This window comes from Homo sapiens, chromosome 6 (genome assembly GCF_000001405.40).
Source record: "Homo sapiens chromosome 6, GRCh38.p14 Primary Assembly".
Taxonomy (NCBI): Eukaryota; Metazoa; Chordata; class Mammalia; order Primates; family Hominidae; genus Homo; species Homo sapiens.
Genome location: NC_000006.12, coordinates 118312012 through 118327796, shown reverse-complemented (window position 1 = coordinate 118327796; position 15785 = coordinate 118312012). Strand labels below are relative to the sequence as shown.

Genomic DNA, 15785 nt, shown 5'->3' with positions numbered 1-15785 from the left:
GAGACATGGGAGGTGAGGCTGGAGAACAAGGTGGTGATTCTGTCATGCTGGCCCTTGTGTGCCATGGTCAGGGCTTTTGAATGTCATTCATTTGTTCATTCGTGAATTCATCCACTCATTCAATTGATGTTTGTTGAGATCCCTTGACGTCCTGGGTACTCTTTCATGTGCTAGGGATAAAGGAGGGAACAAAAGAGACAAGATTCTTGCCCTAAGGAAACTTACATTCAGGTTGGGGGAGAAAGACAAACAAAATATGTACTGTGTCAGAAAGTGATAGGTACTACAGAGAAAACAGGGAAGGGAATGGAAGTGTGGGGGTTGAGGTTTTATCTTAAGGAGAATGTGAGTGGCCCCCTAGAGTTGTGCAATAGGATGACACTGCCATGGACAGCCAGGGAAATGTGTTAAGTGGGACTATGACTGGATAGGGACTGTGCTTTAGCTGCTGAGTGGAGAATGGATCAGAGACAGGCTGAGTAGGAGGCAACTATTCAGGTAAAAGATAAAGTGAGCTGAAATTAGGATCATGCCAATGGGGCATGGGGACAAGGGGACTGATTTGTTGACATTTAGGAGGTAAATACTTCTTGTCTGGCTTGGCTAACCAGGAAATAAACATTCCTGCTCATTTAAGGGCCTGTATGTTTCCACTGAAAGTCTGAAAAAGACTACACCAAAACTGACTTATTTTGTGAATAAAAATATGTACATAAATTTTTTTTTATAATTGCTGTTGGGGTTCCAAATATCAAAAAATATACCAGAAATAAAAGTTGGCTTTGCTGGCCCCATGTAGATATATAAATAAACATGAAGTTTCCAGGGCAAGGTCATGATTTATGGATGGATACTTCTAAATCTGGTCTAGATGTTTTTATTACTTGCCTAGGGGAAGAGGTTGAGAGAAACTGAATGTTAGTGCTTGAGCTGTAGCATCATCATTTATTCTTGCTCTATTTTGGGCTCATTTACAGGCCCAGGTGGGGAATTTCTGCCTGATGCTGGTACCATGTTGGCATTGGTGATGGCAACTCAGGCCAAGTCTGGGGAGCAATTAGGGGGTCAGAGTGTCTGAAAACATCATCACTGCCTCTGAGCTTTCTAAGGCGAAAAAATAAACAGTAGAGCCAGGGCAGGTAGGCAAAGCAGAAATGAGCCCTTTAGCACTCACAGCAATTCCAACTTTTCTTTTTGTCCTGTCAGAAATACTTCTTGAGTGGTCAGAGGCACATAGCCTTTGGTCTGCAGTGAATTCTCATCTTACCTCAAATTTCATGTATTTGCACTTGGACTCCATTATGAGCAAGCAGGAAGAATAAAGAATACCAATCTCGGCCGGGCGCGGTGGCTCACGCCTGTAATCCCAGCATCCTGGGAGGCTGAGGTGAGCGAATCATCTCAGGTCAGGAGTTTGAGACCAGTCTGGCCAACATGGTGAAACCCCGTCTCTACTAAAAATACAAAAATTAGCCAGCACCTGTACTCCCAGCTACTTGGGAGGCTGAGGGACGAGAACTGCTTGAACCATGGAGGTGAGAAGGAGCTTGGTCTATTAGAGAAAGAGACAGTTGTCCTATGGTGAGTGAGGGGAGAGGAGAAAAATGCAGGTGTGAAACAAAGCAAGATCCAAGTTTTGTGGGTCCTACCAACCATAGTAAGACGTTTGAATTTTATTCCAGTAACCATGGGAAGACACTGGAAAGGTTTACACAGGAAAATGACAGGATGTAATTTACATGTTAAAAAAAAATCTTGTTGTGTAGACAATGGATTGTAGAGAGGTAGACAGGGGAGAGCACATAGGATGCAGTTCCCACAGTTCAGGATAGAGAGCAAGGTGGCTTGGACCAGGGCGGCAGAAGCAGTTGTGGCCAGGAGTCCAATTCAGGACAGGAGTTGCAGGAGAAGCCTTAGTGGTACACTGGATGTGGGTGCTGATGACAAGAACAAAATCGATGATGCATCTGGGGTACTTGGCCTGAGCCACCAGGTAGATGGGGTGCTGTGAAGTGATATGGGGAGGAAAGGAGGAGGAACAGGTTTGGGGGGAATCAAGAGTTCTGTTTTGGACACGTTAGGTTTGAGAGGTTTATTGGACATCCACATGGAGACGTTGAGCAGGCAGAGAGAGGTCTGGCTGGGGATGCCAACGTGTGAGTCATCGGCATGAAGCTGGTGCTGAAAGCAGTGAGAGTGAATATAAATTAAAAGGAGAAGCAAACTAAGGACAGAGCGGGGGTACCCCAGTGAGTGGTTATGGGAGAGAAAGAAGATTCTGCACAGGATCCAGGCAGGAGTGGCCTGTGAGGCGCAGGAACACCGCAAGGTGGTTCCACAAACCTCAGGGAAAGCAGTGTTTCCAGAAGGAGGGTGTGACTGGCTGAGCCAGGCTGCTGAGAGGTCAGGCAGTGAGGGGGAAGAACCCAGAACGAGGTGCAGATAAGATGTTGGGGCTGGGGGAGGTCACATTTCCGCCTCAGCAGGAAGAAATGGGACCTGTTGAAGGAGTCAGGGATGTCACTCCTGACTATATCTTCCTACTTCTAGAGTTAATTTTTTTTCTGCTGGCTGATAAATTGTTTGTTGTTTTATTTTATTTTCTTCAGACCAGCTGTTTTTGTTGGTACCACACGAAAAGGAGTTTTCCAGTCACCCATTTCCCATATCAACGGTGAGCTGTTAATGTAGTTGGCATAGGTTTCTTCACTAGCTGGTTTAATCATTTTAACATAACTGACTTTCAACTTGGATGCATTCACTTCATTCCTCTTGTACACACTTCTTATCACTGTGTTTTTGTGGATAGCTCCTCAAAGATTTTGTCAACTTAAATCCTTTTCTCAGCTATCATCAGACATTTTGTATATATAGACAACCTCTGTTGTCTTTGCAGTCAGACATGCCTGGGTTGGAATCCTGGCCCCATCATTTGCTAGCTGCGTAACCTTGGCCATTTTGTGTAACCCACCTATGCCTCCGTTAACTCATCAATAAAAATGGGGTACAAGTTCAACTCCCCCCCACCAGGGTTTCTTTGCAAATGAGACAATCTCCACAATGCTTAGTCCAGTGCTTAGCACACAGTAGAATAAATGATACTGGTTATAGCTGCAACTATACAAAAATCTATAATAGATTTCAAAAAATGCACTTGCTAAAAATTTGAACCAGGATACTCCAAGCCTGGCAGTGAGCAAAGAGTATCTACGAGGAAGATGCCTTGAGGTCTGACGCCGAGGGCGAGGTTCATTCTCCCCTCGAACATCTTGCAATAATGACTGCAGCTCCACATTATCCCCCAAGTGACAGGACGGTCTCCATTGTCAACGGTCAATATCAGAGGAACAGGGCTTGATTTCATAAAGGAAGCAACTGGATTTTCTTTAGAGATGCAAATGGAAACGTTAGGTTTGGCATGTTCCAGGGATTTCATTTGCTTAACTGAAAAGGGCATTTCATCACCCTAAGCACAGTTCTTAGAGTTACATTCAGGAGGGAGGAATGTAACCTGACTGCTTTGCTCTCAGGCATTCATCGCATTCTGAACCATGGGATGCTGGGCAAAATCAATGCCTTTGGTCTTGCTATTAGTTGCTCTTGTGCTTCCCAGAGAAATCTTGGCGCCCTGAGTTGACATCTTTGCTGGAGACTGACAGCTGGAATGAGATGTTCAAGTGAAGAAGATGAAGAGAAACACGTCTCTTTAAGGTAAAAATAGACCTTGTTACTGGATCAAGTTACAGAAGGGTAGAGGTGGAAGAATTTTCAAATTTCCTTCCTTGGAGGAAATCATCACCTAGTGTTCATAACTCAAATAGGACTTAATCTGTAAGCAAGTAGCTTAAAGATGATCTCAAGTCCACACGTAGAGATAGGTTTTGGATTTCCTTATGGTGACTCCAAACAGGAACGCTATCGGGGTAATTATGGGCTAATAGAAGGTGCCACAGGTTATCTCAATTAACCTGGATTCTCTTCCCATCATCTTGAGTTTGCCTCCATTGGAGGCACGGCACATGGCTTTGCTGGCACCTGTTTTACCACACAGCTGAACACATGACCTGAACTAAGTCTGTCAGGATCCCTGTCTACCCCTGTGCACTTCTTGCAAGTAAGCCAGTCATGGACAGAACCTGGATTGGTGCAAAATATCTCACTTTAACCAAAACTCCTATTTAGGTTGGTTTTGGGGCCTAACCTTATTAACTTCTTGGATCTTCATTGTTAAAATTAGCGTTTTTACTTAATAATTTTGTTCTTCTAATGATTAAAGTATATAAGAAAAAGGGAAAACTTTCAGTTCATTGTAATCAAGATGGCATACAAGTCTGAATTATTTGCTATATAATGTGGTCTCTACATTATTCTACCTGGTCATAATTTCCCCTCAAGAATATTTCTTTGGATGAATTAAAAAGTAATGTAATAATTTTTTTGAAACGTTGGAAGTAAAAATATAAGAGAAAGGTAAATTAAAGTAGCCACTGATTCCATTGAAGAAAATAAGATCCATTTTCAGGACAGATGGCATGCGCCAACTTCACCGTCAGTAAAATATTTCACAGTATTTTGCTAATGTGGGAATCTTGTAGTGTTGACATGTAAGGACATTGAAAAAATAGTAATTTTTAATCTTTTAAAACCATGATTCGGTTTTAAAATACTGTCATTCAGGAGCCAGAGTGTTTTCTTTTAATGAATACACAGTGTGATTTTTTTTTTTTTTTTTGAGATGGAGTCTCGCTCTGTCGCCCAGGCGGCTGGAGTGCAGTGGTGCAATCTTGGCTCACTGCAACCTCCACCTCCTGGGTTCAAGCAATTCTCTGCCTCAGCCTCCTGAGTAGCTGGGATTACAGGTGGGCACCACCACGCCTGGCTAATTTTTGTATTTTTAGTAGAGACGGGGTTTCACCATGTTGGTCAGGCAGGTCTCGAACTCCTGACCTCGTGGTCCACCTGCCTCAGCCTCCCAAAGTGCTGGGATTACAGGCATGAGCCACTGTGCCCGGCCACAGTGTGATATTAAACAAGCTAATTTGATTCCACTTTTTAAAACAAATGTTCATAAAGCCTGGAGACAGTATCTGCGATATATTCGTGCTCAGTGGAGTTTTCTCCTTTTCTTAAATGAATTTAAAGACAAAAGATCAAAGATGGTTATGTTTAAGTTTTAAAGCAAAGAAAACCATTTTCCTGAAATGCTCAAAGAAGCTATCACCATGAATGAACTAGTGAAGTAGGCCAAGCTGAGAAGATGATAGCAAATGTGGACTGCTGCAGTGAAGCTGGGTCAATCATTTTAGGAAGAATAGACAGAAATCCTACGAAGGTGCCAGAAAGCAGATGCTACTGCAATGGCATTAGAAATAGATGGGAATTATGCTGTAGCCAGAAGAAGATACTCTACTTTATCATGATAATGGAAATAATGAAAATTGCATTAGTACATAAAAGTCTATTTCTTTACAATGTCAAAAGTCAAGAAAAAGAGATTACGTTACAGAAACATTACAGACCAAAGGAAGCCATTCAACCAACTACAAGGGAAATTGTTGGAAGGATGTTTTTACCAAACACACACACACACACACACACACACACACACACAAACACCTCACTAACCCAAGAGTAGGAGGCAGCGGCCCTATAGTGCTCCTGTTTAGAGGGTGGTAAAGAGACTCTGGTGTACTTCTCAGGGCAGGCAGGGACAGCTGTTGCTTTTAAAATTTCAGAGCTCCAATGATCTTGACCTCTTGCTCGATGATTTTCATCTCTCCACATCCTTACCTCACAAGGACCGCTTGACCAAGTGGTTCATGTGGCTCAGGAAGAAAACAGACACTCCTTTACCTTGCAGTCAAGTTTGGTTTGCATTCAGTGGTAGCCGAATTGTTTTCTAAGGGCAGCAGCCTCACGAGTGATGCTGACCTGACACAGGTCATTGGAGAATATAGTGAGTGGCAGCTAGTGCATGTCTAGGGATGAGAAATCCCCGTGGAAGCAGTGGGCTCTCAACCCCGGCTTCAGCAGTTACAGATGGACAGTTGCAGCTCTAGTGGCATATCTGTTTTGGGGAGTCACATGGACAAGGCCAGGGCCAACGACCCCTCTGACATTTGTGTGTTGAGTAGGAATAGCAGTGGGACAATTCCCCACCTGCAAATTTTCCTAGAAGGACTCAATCCAGAAGGACAAAAGCAGTTCATAATGGGCATGTACCACGTTTTTTCTTTCGTATTATACTTAAAAGTTGGTTAGCGACAGGGATCCTCCTAAAGATCTCTTATCCAAGTGCCTGAGAAGCTGCTCTGGGCCGCTTAGCGGAAAGGACCTACATTCTGCTCTCTGACCTTCGTTTCTTGTGATCACAGAGCAGCCTTCCTAACTGAGGACTTACACACTATTGTGTTATCTGCAGAATTTTGCCAGTAGTGGCTACTGTTGCTTCTCAAGGCTAAACATCTCTCTTTCTAGCTAAGCCATCTTCACACATGCCATAAAATGACTGGACTTGAGATTTTTCAACAAAATGATCTCCAATTCCTCCAGCTTTCAAATTCTGTGTCTAAGCTTGTGACTAAAATGAAATGAATTTCATGTTGTTTGGAAATCATGACTGTGAATTGAAAAGTGAATAAAAAGTGAAGTCTTAGTCTTCAACTAAGGATACCAAATTCCCCACGTTGAGTTATCCTCTATCCCTGACAATTTTCCTTTTAATTAAAACACAGCCTGATAAGCAGAATCTTGGGGAACATAAAGCAGTTATGTGATTCACTCAACCATTTGTATGCAAGTGTGACCTATTTAGCTTTTAAAATCCTATTTAATGCCAAAAACCACATTAGAGAATTCAAACAAAAGCTCACAGGGAGTCCCATAATGAGACCGTTTTGATTAGTCCAGTGATTAGCTCATTTCCTCTCTCTTTAGTAATTTCATTTAGAATAGTAGTCATTTTAAGAGCAAGTAGATTTTCTTATTGCTTTACTAGTTTGCTGTGAAATTGGCAAGTGGCCAACCATCTGTGCAACTGCAATTATTACTATTACTTAAAATTTATCAAACCTCTTCGGTTACTATGAAAGTAATTCTCCCTGCCTATAAAGACAAGGCCAAGAAAGGCATTAATGAGACCCAACTTTGCACAAAAATAGACATTATCACCCCATGTTTCAACCTACTAGCCCAAAGTTCCAGAAGTGGTATTTGTGGACCCTGTTGGGAAAAAGTTGAGTGAACGATGGTTTTGATCGACTGCCATAGTCATCTACTCTTCAGTGCCTAGGAATCTACTTCTCCCTCTCATGAGAGCTATGCATTCATTTATGCAGGCATTTATTTGTCATTGGCATTTCTTGAAATGGATGGGTGTGTAGGCTTTTACTGTAATTTATGAATAATTTTAAATAATTCCAGCAGTACTGCCTCTTTTAGGGTCACCTGTTTCTTTCTTGCTTTTTTACATTTTTACACATTTAGCAATGAAACAGTGGGGAAGATGCTTGAGATATCACCACTGGAACTCCTCTCATTGCTCTACCAACCTTGGCCATAGATGATTCCAAGAAGGAGGTCTGAACAGTCAGGCTGAGGCCAGTGTGCTGCTTTCCAGCAGTAAGAATCCACAAACACCCTCACCATTGTGAGCAGGTGGTTGCCTCCACCCCGCTATTCTACTGCAGACAGTGACAGCTAGTGTCAGGAAGATGTAGCAATCCACTGTGCTGCTGGCCTCCCAGTGGGAGGGCTGGACCAGTGCATTTCTTAAAGCCAGTGACCACACAGGCAGGTTCATCTGGGATGGACCACGTCTACACCTGTTGTCCAGGCATCATTACTGAGTGCCCACTTTCACTTTTGAAAGTGTTAACAATTGGATAATGAATTGCATACTCGGCCCACTTAATGTCCCCTTGTAGCTCTGTCATCTATTAGGTGACCTAACATTTACATTTTTAACCTATACCAGCAGTTTGAGGCAATGAGTTCAGGAAGATTATTCTCCATTGTGTGAAGTAATATTTACCTTTATCTGTCCTGAAATTATCCTTCAAGCGTTATGGGATTGGTCCCAGCTTTAATGCTGAGGCTCAGTGAACAAGCTCATTTGCATGCTTTTACAGATTTTAGTTTTGTCCACACCAGGCCTTTGTCCATCCAGATGGATGGCCCTAATCTTAGAGCCTATTCGCAGAGACCTCCACCCTCTGATCATTAGCTTCCCTTGTTAATCAGGCTGTAGTAGTGTTTGGAGGCAACTTGTCTGAAAAGTGATGCACAATGGTTTGTCCTTTCAGGCACTGATGAAAGGCCGTCTGGTAGGGGAAGGGCTTTCCAGCTGTATTATAATTTTTTTTGAATTAAATGTTTTTTCTTTTTCTTTTTTTTAAGCATATAGAGAATGAAAGGAACCTGCCTAGATGGCTCATAGTGAGCCCTCTGTTTATGCTTGCAGAAAAAAGAAAGAACGAAAAATAAACAAAAAAAAAAAAAGAGAAGAAATCAAGGAAAAAAGGAAGAAGGAAAAAAGAAAGATCAGTGTATATAACTAAGAAGGAATATTATAAATTCAAAACACTATTTGCAGGAGAAAACAAAACAAAACTTTGCTTTGTTATTTCATACCTCAGGCCTGAATTTGAAAGGCCAAATATTGTAAGCGATTGTAAAAAATTCCCTAGAAGGGTGCATTTAAGTGGACATGGTGATTTCTTCCTTTCCAAGATGCAGGAATTTTACAGAAAAAAAAAAGTACTCGAGAGTAATAGAAGAAGAAAGGAACATTTTGTAACAGAATATCTTACCCTTGTACTTTGTATTTATGGTTTAGAAGCTTGATTCCCTTAAAACAAGATGTATGAGTGCCTTCCATGTGCAAGGTGTTTTGCTGGGCACTGAAAATATATAAACTGGATCTAATTTCAGCTCTTGTTATTTTAGACATTACGATTTGTTTTCTTGTGGAACATTAAGACAATATAATAAATTACAGCCTTCCTGCTGAATTTTACTTGTTTCTATTTTTCTCTCATGCTAATAGTCATGAGAATCACTCAAGTGCTTCCTTCTCTTACCATTGCAAGGACTTTCAAGTTCTTTAGGAAACCCGGTTCTTTCTCTTAAGAAAACAAATCTTAATTCATTGGGGAAACATGACATACATTTATTGTATATACAATCTGAGCCCCAATCAATTGGAATTGCTGCACATTTGGACAGAGGCTGGGCTGAAGTTCAACTTTATTTCATCTTTGATCAAAGAGCTTACTAAATGGAAGTAAACAATACTTTAGAGAAAGATTGACATTTTTTTCAAGGAAAAAAACTGATTTAAACTGAGAGTCACATTTCTCAAGCAAATTACTTATGTTAAGTACATGCTATTCCAACTATTTATAAAAGCAGCTCATGATGGATCTCAACCTGAGAGCACTTTATAAAGCACTTAGTGTCCTACAATTCCTTTTTTCCTGAAAAATGAATGTTTTTCTTTAAACATTATTCTTAATATATAACTCAGACACACAGTCTTCTTGGCTCATTTAATTTTTGAGGTCTGATTGCAAAAACTGACAAGAACATGTAAATGTATTTATAATCTAGGTACTTATGGGGATAGATTTATAATCTAGGTACTTATGGGGAGTGACAGCAGTTAGTAGAGGAGGGATGATTATAAGATGCTGTGTAAGTTCTGAGCAGAAATCTGAGCAATCTCTGCTTTATAAACATTGCACTCTGGAAGAATGCTCATCCGTTAAGTCTGTTGTGTGCCAAGGCCAGCATACACAGAACTTTCTTCTTTATGAGAAACTTTTCCTTGGGGGTAAATTTATATTGTCTTACATGTGTTTTAAATGTGGGCTTGAAGCCCCAGAGTGTTCTTATGTACCCAGATAAATAATTAACTTTGCAAACTATGAACATGTTTAATTTGGCTTTTGAAACTATACTTCTGAGACCAATTGTGCCCTTCCTAATTTGGAAATATTTTCTTTCTGGTTTTTATTTCGACATGTACCCAGCCATCTACTTTTGTTGCTATTTCTAGTATCCCAAGGGAGCTGCTTCCACGGTTGTCATAGTGCAGACAAACACAAAAGAAAACCAAGAATTCGGTGCTTTCATAAAGCATTTATTTTTATTTGAAAACATTATACAGGCATTACATTGCCACAGCCAGTCCATAGGGGAGCATGCAAATATCAAAAATGGACAGTTTGTTGAACTTATCGGTGTAACTTTTTTTTGGTTCGTATTTTCCATTTGCAGTGTTGTCAGAATTAGTGTGCTTTGTTATGTGGCTTAACAATAGAATCCTACCCATGGGGTAAAATCTGTACTGGTAGCTAGCTGGGGACTACTAAATAGTTATAAATCAAAAAGAAACCCAAAACAAACAATACTACACGCTTGTCAAAAGGTTAATAGCACAAGTTAGCAATATCTAAACTAAACATTGAAACAATTTCATGGGACACGGTGGTGCAAATTTTTCCATTGCTTGATCACCTGGTCATGTATTTGAGAGTATGTAGATGTGGGAAGGTCTGACCAAGGCAAGCGCTGTCCCCAGTGCAAGTTTTCATTGAGGAAGTGAGAACCACCACTTAATCTCTAGCAGGGTTCAGGAGAATTGTGGTTCGCTCTTACCTGATCAAATTCTATATAAATTGCTAAAGTCTTATTCATTGAGGAGAGATTGGTGGTGGAGTTAGAAACTGAAAATTTTGCTGGTGTCTACTGAGGTTATGAAATCTCAGAAACTAAAACAGCTAAAGTTAATGTTGTCCTACTCCCATTTCCCGCCCCATTCCCAAAGGATCAGTGTTTTTTACACAGAAAAAGAATTTGTTCTTTGCGATTTTTTTTTTCCTGGAGGGTCAGTCTGGAACTCCTGATCTTGAACAATTCAATATATTATCAACCTTTCTAAATGGAGACAAACCAACACATTGAGGTCACCCAGGGACATGAAAGTCTGAGTACAAGGACACCGAATGATAAAGGGTATACGGCAAATTCATCTTAACATTCACACTTGGTTTCCATACAATGGAGTCAATTAAAATATCCTATAAAATAATTCAGATGGCAACCTTTAGCCATCTGTTGATTGCAAACTTTTTGGAAATTTATATTTTTAAAAAACTCCAGTCTACTGAGTGGACTTGGAGATAATTTCATCCACTTGCTTCTCATAAGACTTTACTAAGTGTCTACAAATTAATGTCATAAAAATGAATCAAAGATGAAAACATCTGGCTTAAAATAAATACTAAAAATGCAATAAATCAAGCAAATTATTCAAACCAAAGGAATGTAAACACAAAAATAAAACCACAGTCTTTAAAGGTCTTCGGATCTGAATGGACAAAATATTCAGAGAAAGGTATTTAATTGGTTTAAAAGGTAGCAGAGAGAAGATGTTGGCAAAGTTGTTTTGATTTGATAGAGCTTTAACGCTGATATTTTCCCCATGGAAAATAAAACATGTTTCCTAGGGGGCTGAACTGAGATGACCATTACATCCGAATATCAGAGAAGATAATTTTTCTTCTCTATCTCCAAGGGTAGGTCCACTTACCCGTTATAGAAGGCAGGCAAAAAGGCCATGTGGGTGCTGACAGACAGTGTGGGATGCTTTTGCCTGCCAGATTTAGGCCTTGTACAGGCACTCTGGGATCAGTCCTTCTACTGTAGTCTGTCCTTTTACTTTCCAGAGACCCCACTGGTGTTTTGCTTTGCTTGCTTATGTAACACATGTTGATTTGAATTGCCCAATGTCTCATAAACATGTATTTTTCCCCTATAAACCCTGTAACTCCATTGAGGATCTTTTTGAATGGTATTGAAGTCAGTCAAACTAAAAGAGTACATCACATACTGACACATAGAATCTATTCTAAATAATAGAGGTCTGTGGTGTTTCTTAATTTCCTGTGTTTGAAAAAAGGGCTATTTTAAGGGCAACAGATTAGACTAGTGACATATCACTCAAGGTCTTATCAGGATCCTGCAGTATTCTCTGGGTCCATAAGAATGTCGTGTCGGCCGGGCGCAGTGGCTCACGCCTGTAATCCCAGCACTTCGGGAGGCCAAGGTGGGCGGATCACGAGGTCAGGAGATCGAGACCATCCTGGCTAACACGGTGAAACCCCATCTCTACTAAAAATACAAAAAATTAGCTGGGCGTCGTGGCAGGTGCCTGTAGTCCCAGCTACTCGGGAGGCTGAGGCAGGAGAATGGTGTGAATCCCGGAGGCGGAGGTTGCAGTGAGCTGAGATCGTGCCACCGCACTCCAGCCTGGGCGACAGAGTGAGACTCCGTCTCAAAAAAAAAAAAAAAAAAAAAAAAGAATGTCGTGTCAATATATCTGTTATTGAATGGATGCCAAATATGACCAAAATGCCAGACTTTTTCAATGATGACATTGTTACCACTGCAAAGTGGCCAAATCAATTAAGCCATTTTCAAAGACTGCTCCACATCAGCACCTTGACTTTGTTAGGAGGTGGCACAACCAATGATTTTCCACAATAAAGGTAATTTCCATGCTGGTGTATTTTTAAAAAGGTGTCACAGAATTAAAAGGGCAGAGGACCATGGCTTTTTCCAGTGCCTTGATTAATTTCCATATTATCACTAAGGAAATCTGGAAAAAAAATAAAAGATAGTTTTTGAAGAGAGGCTACAGGGAGGAGCAGAAAGATTTTATAATTATATATTGTCCTAAACACAAATGATATTATTTCTGGGGGCTCCCAAAAGCCACAGTAATGGAACAGTCCTTATCCTGTTATTACAGGGACTTGATTAGCAGAATCACGTGGCACAACAGAAAGGCAATGGCCTGGAGTAATCAGAGATCGAAATATAAAAAGGCTAAAATGTTTCTTTTATATCTATTCCTAGAATAGAGAAGTATATGGTCAGTTGCCCCTCCCCACAAAGGTCACAGCACAAAATACTTATTGAGCAGGCAATCCAACAGGTAACAGAGGAAACCATTAACCACCAGGTCCCTAGGAAAAGGAAACTTCTCAGGGGTGGAGCTCCTGTGGCATGCATCACTCATATAGTCTGTGCAAAAAAATAAAGTATGACTCTTAAAAAGTGAATTGCCATAGAAAAGTGGGGTTTATGTTGACTACATGTGGGTCTGGCAATAGTTTCCATCAGGAGTACAAAACATCCTCCTGAAAGTTGGTGTAATAACAGTAACAGCAATAATAATAATACAAATCATAATAACAATAATACTTGCTTTTGATTCAAAAATTTTCACAGTAATGAATGCAGGGGAGTTGTGATCAGGATACACGTTAGCTAGGCATCCTTCCAAGTCAGGTGGATTAGAGCCTGTGTCTCCAGTGATGTTGAGCTTGTTCCTTTCACAAGCTTTTGGAGGATTTGCTACCTTGCAGTCCACCTGTGTAAACTGCACCTAGTAAATACCTTTCTCTATGTACAATACAGAGATGATGGGCAAAAACATGGCCAATGAGTTGGCCTCAGTTGGCAGGGCGGGCCTCACCCTAGGCCACACGAACATGAGGCTCCTCTTCGGTCTCCTGGCCCAGGCTGGTGTAGGTGACTGAGGGTTCCACCTGAGCTGTGGTCGGTAAGTCCACAACAGGTCCTGAAGGATTGCGGAACTGCTTATACACTCGGGGGTCCTGGGCTATGTAGGTGGAGGTGGAGGAGTAGAGCACCAGCCCAATGAGGATGGTGAAGAAAGACAGGAGATAAAGTCCTGAAAACTAAAAAAACACAACAGTAAAGTCATTTGACAGCCAGGGCAGAACCACTGACACATTAATGAGGCACACAGAAACATGAGCAGAGCTGCTTCTTCTCAGAACAGGCAGCATGATGAGTTGGCCAACACCGTTGATGGAGAATGAATTTTCTCATCATAAACTGGCTTGGTCCTATTGATTCTCCTTATCTTTCCTAGACCCTGTGGCTAACACAGAGGAACACTTAGCTAATCATCTCTAAAGTGCCAATCTGAGGATCTGGTATGGTGCGAGAACTAGTTAAGCACAAATTAAAATGCATCAAGTTAAAAGCAAAAAATCTCCAGTATCAGTCAATAAAAAGTTGGTTGTTTGTGGCTTCATTAAACCTAGAGAAATACAGATATCCCCTTTAGGGTTGTAATGAAGCCATAAACAATGAACCGCTCACTGACAGCTGCATCAGGGCACTCTCATTTCACCTTAATCCAATTCAGACACTATTTGTCTTCCTAAGAGGAATTGTTACTGACTTTGGTAAATATCTTTGCAAGATTAGATTATCCTTGAACAGAAAGAAATAGTACAACATTCCATTCCTGCCCCACTAATCTGTAAACAAAACCAAGCAGGACTGTATATACAACATTCTGCTTCCTAATCTACTTGCTTGACAATTCATAGAGTTTGCGGGGAGAGGGAGAGAAAATACTGGTTTACACAAGTCGCAAGAATTTACATATGTTTTTGGAAAATTATGACTCCTGGACCTTCTTGAATAGTTACACTGGAAGTAGTTACTTCAGTAGTTACTGGGGAAAGAGTATGGTAACAATATGAGTATTGCCATTTCTGGTGTTTCGTTCATTCATTCCTTCATTCACTCCTTCACTAAATGAATAGTTTCTTATATGCCTTCTCTATATCAGACATTGAACTATGCACTGGAGAAAGAGAAATGAAAAATATGTTGATGCCTACCATTTAGGACTTAATTGTCTCAGTGGCCGAACAGGTACAGATAGACAAAAACAACACAATGCACTTACAGCATGCCAAATCTCATTTCAGTCAATAGTTAATATCCCAGTCTTGACCACATCCTGCGTCCATGGGGAAAAAAGGATCAATTTTATTGTCCTTAATGCTAATACTGAAAGAACTAAAAACTGCTAAAAAGACAAAAATTAATTGGAAGTTGGAAGAAAGGAAAACAGGAAAATGACCCAGAGATTCTATGAAGTAAGTTACAAGGCTATAGTACAAAGCTAAAAGATGGCTCTAACTGTAGTTCAATAATAGGAAAGGGAGTCTTGAAAATGGCTCATAAAAAAAGGTATCCCTGCGGCTAAACGTCCCTGCTACAGCGTTTTTTTCTTTCTTTCTTTTTGCAGTAGTGAGGGAGCTAAGACTAAAGATGCTTTTCTGATTTTCTTTCTAGAGCACTCCACACCCTGTCCCTCAATTCCTTTATTTTTCACATTGAAACCATATGATAACCCTACTTCAGATGGATTTATGTACTAGACTCAGCTTGTAACAGCTTCACTTAATTAACTTGACATAATTCACTTTTCCCAATGAAAATGAATGTGCCTCATTCTTTGATTCATAAATTTGTAAAATAAAATGGTATAAAAAGAAGACCACTAACAGTACAGTTGTGTATGATCTCAGAAAACCTATTTACACTCAAACTTGCTTCCTGAAATTCTACATTCAGGAGCTTCACCCTTTACCTTAAACTTCGGTGAATGAAATAGGTCTGTTCCTAACATTACCATCATTTCAAATATTTTATTAATTACTTTCACTTTCAAAACTCCACCCATACGTCTCTAGTTTCAAGCAAAGCATCTTAGGTGTGAACCTGCCTCTACTACAGCATATGGAGGTAGAGAGATGAAGAATGAGCGCTTTATAGTTATCACTGCATTCTAACCACCAAGCTGGCTTCAAATCTCAGCTCTGCCACATTCTAGCTGCAATTCTGGACACATTTCTTAACCTTTCCAGGTCCAGGCTTCCTTCTCAGTA

At 40.5% G+C, this 15785-nt stretch overlaps 1 protein-coding gene across 2 annotated transcripts in view; it reads right to left on the bottom strand.

Annotated features, from left to right (window-relative positions):
* Window positions 1-10125: 10125 nt before the first annotated feature.
* The window catches only part of SLC35F1 (solute carrier family 35 member F1), a 410408-nt gene continuing 404748 nt past the window's right edge, over window positions 10126-15785 (bottom strand). Inside the window, exons 8-9 of one of the 2 annotated variants that reach the window (NM_001415931.1) lie at window positions 13544-13769; window positions 10126-12661 (exon numbers count right to left, since the gene is read on the bottom strand). In NM_001415931.1, coding sequence (NP_001402860.1) covers window positions 13545-13769 — 225 coding nt within the window. In that variant the 3' untranslated portion in view covers window positions 10126-12661; window position 13544. Of the gene's footprint in view, window positions 13770-15785 lie in introns of both variants that reach the window. The other variant, NM_001029858.4, reaches the window with a different exon arrangement.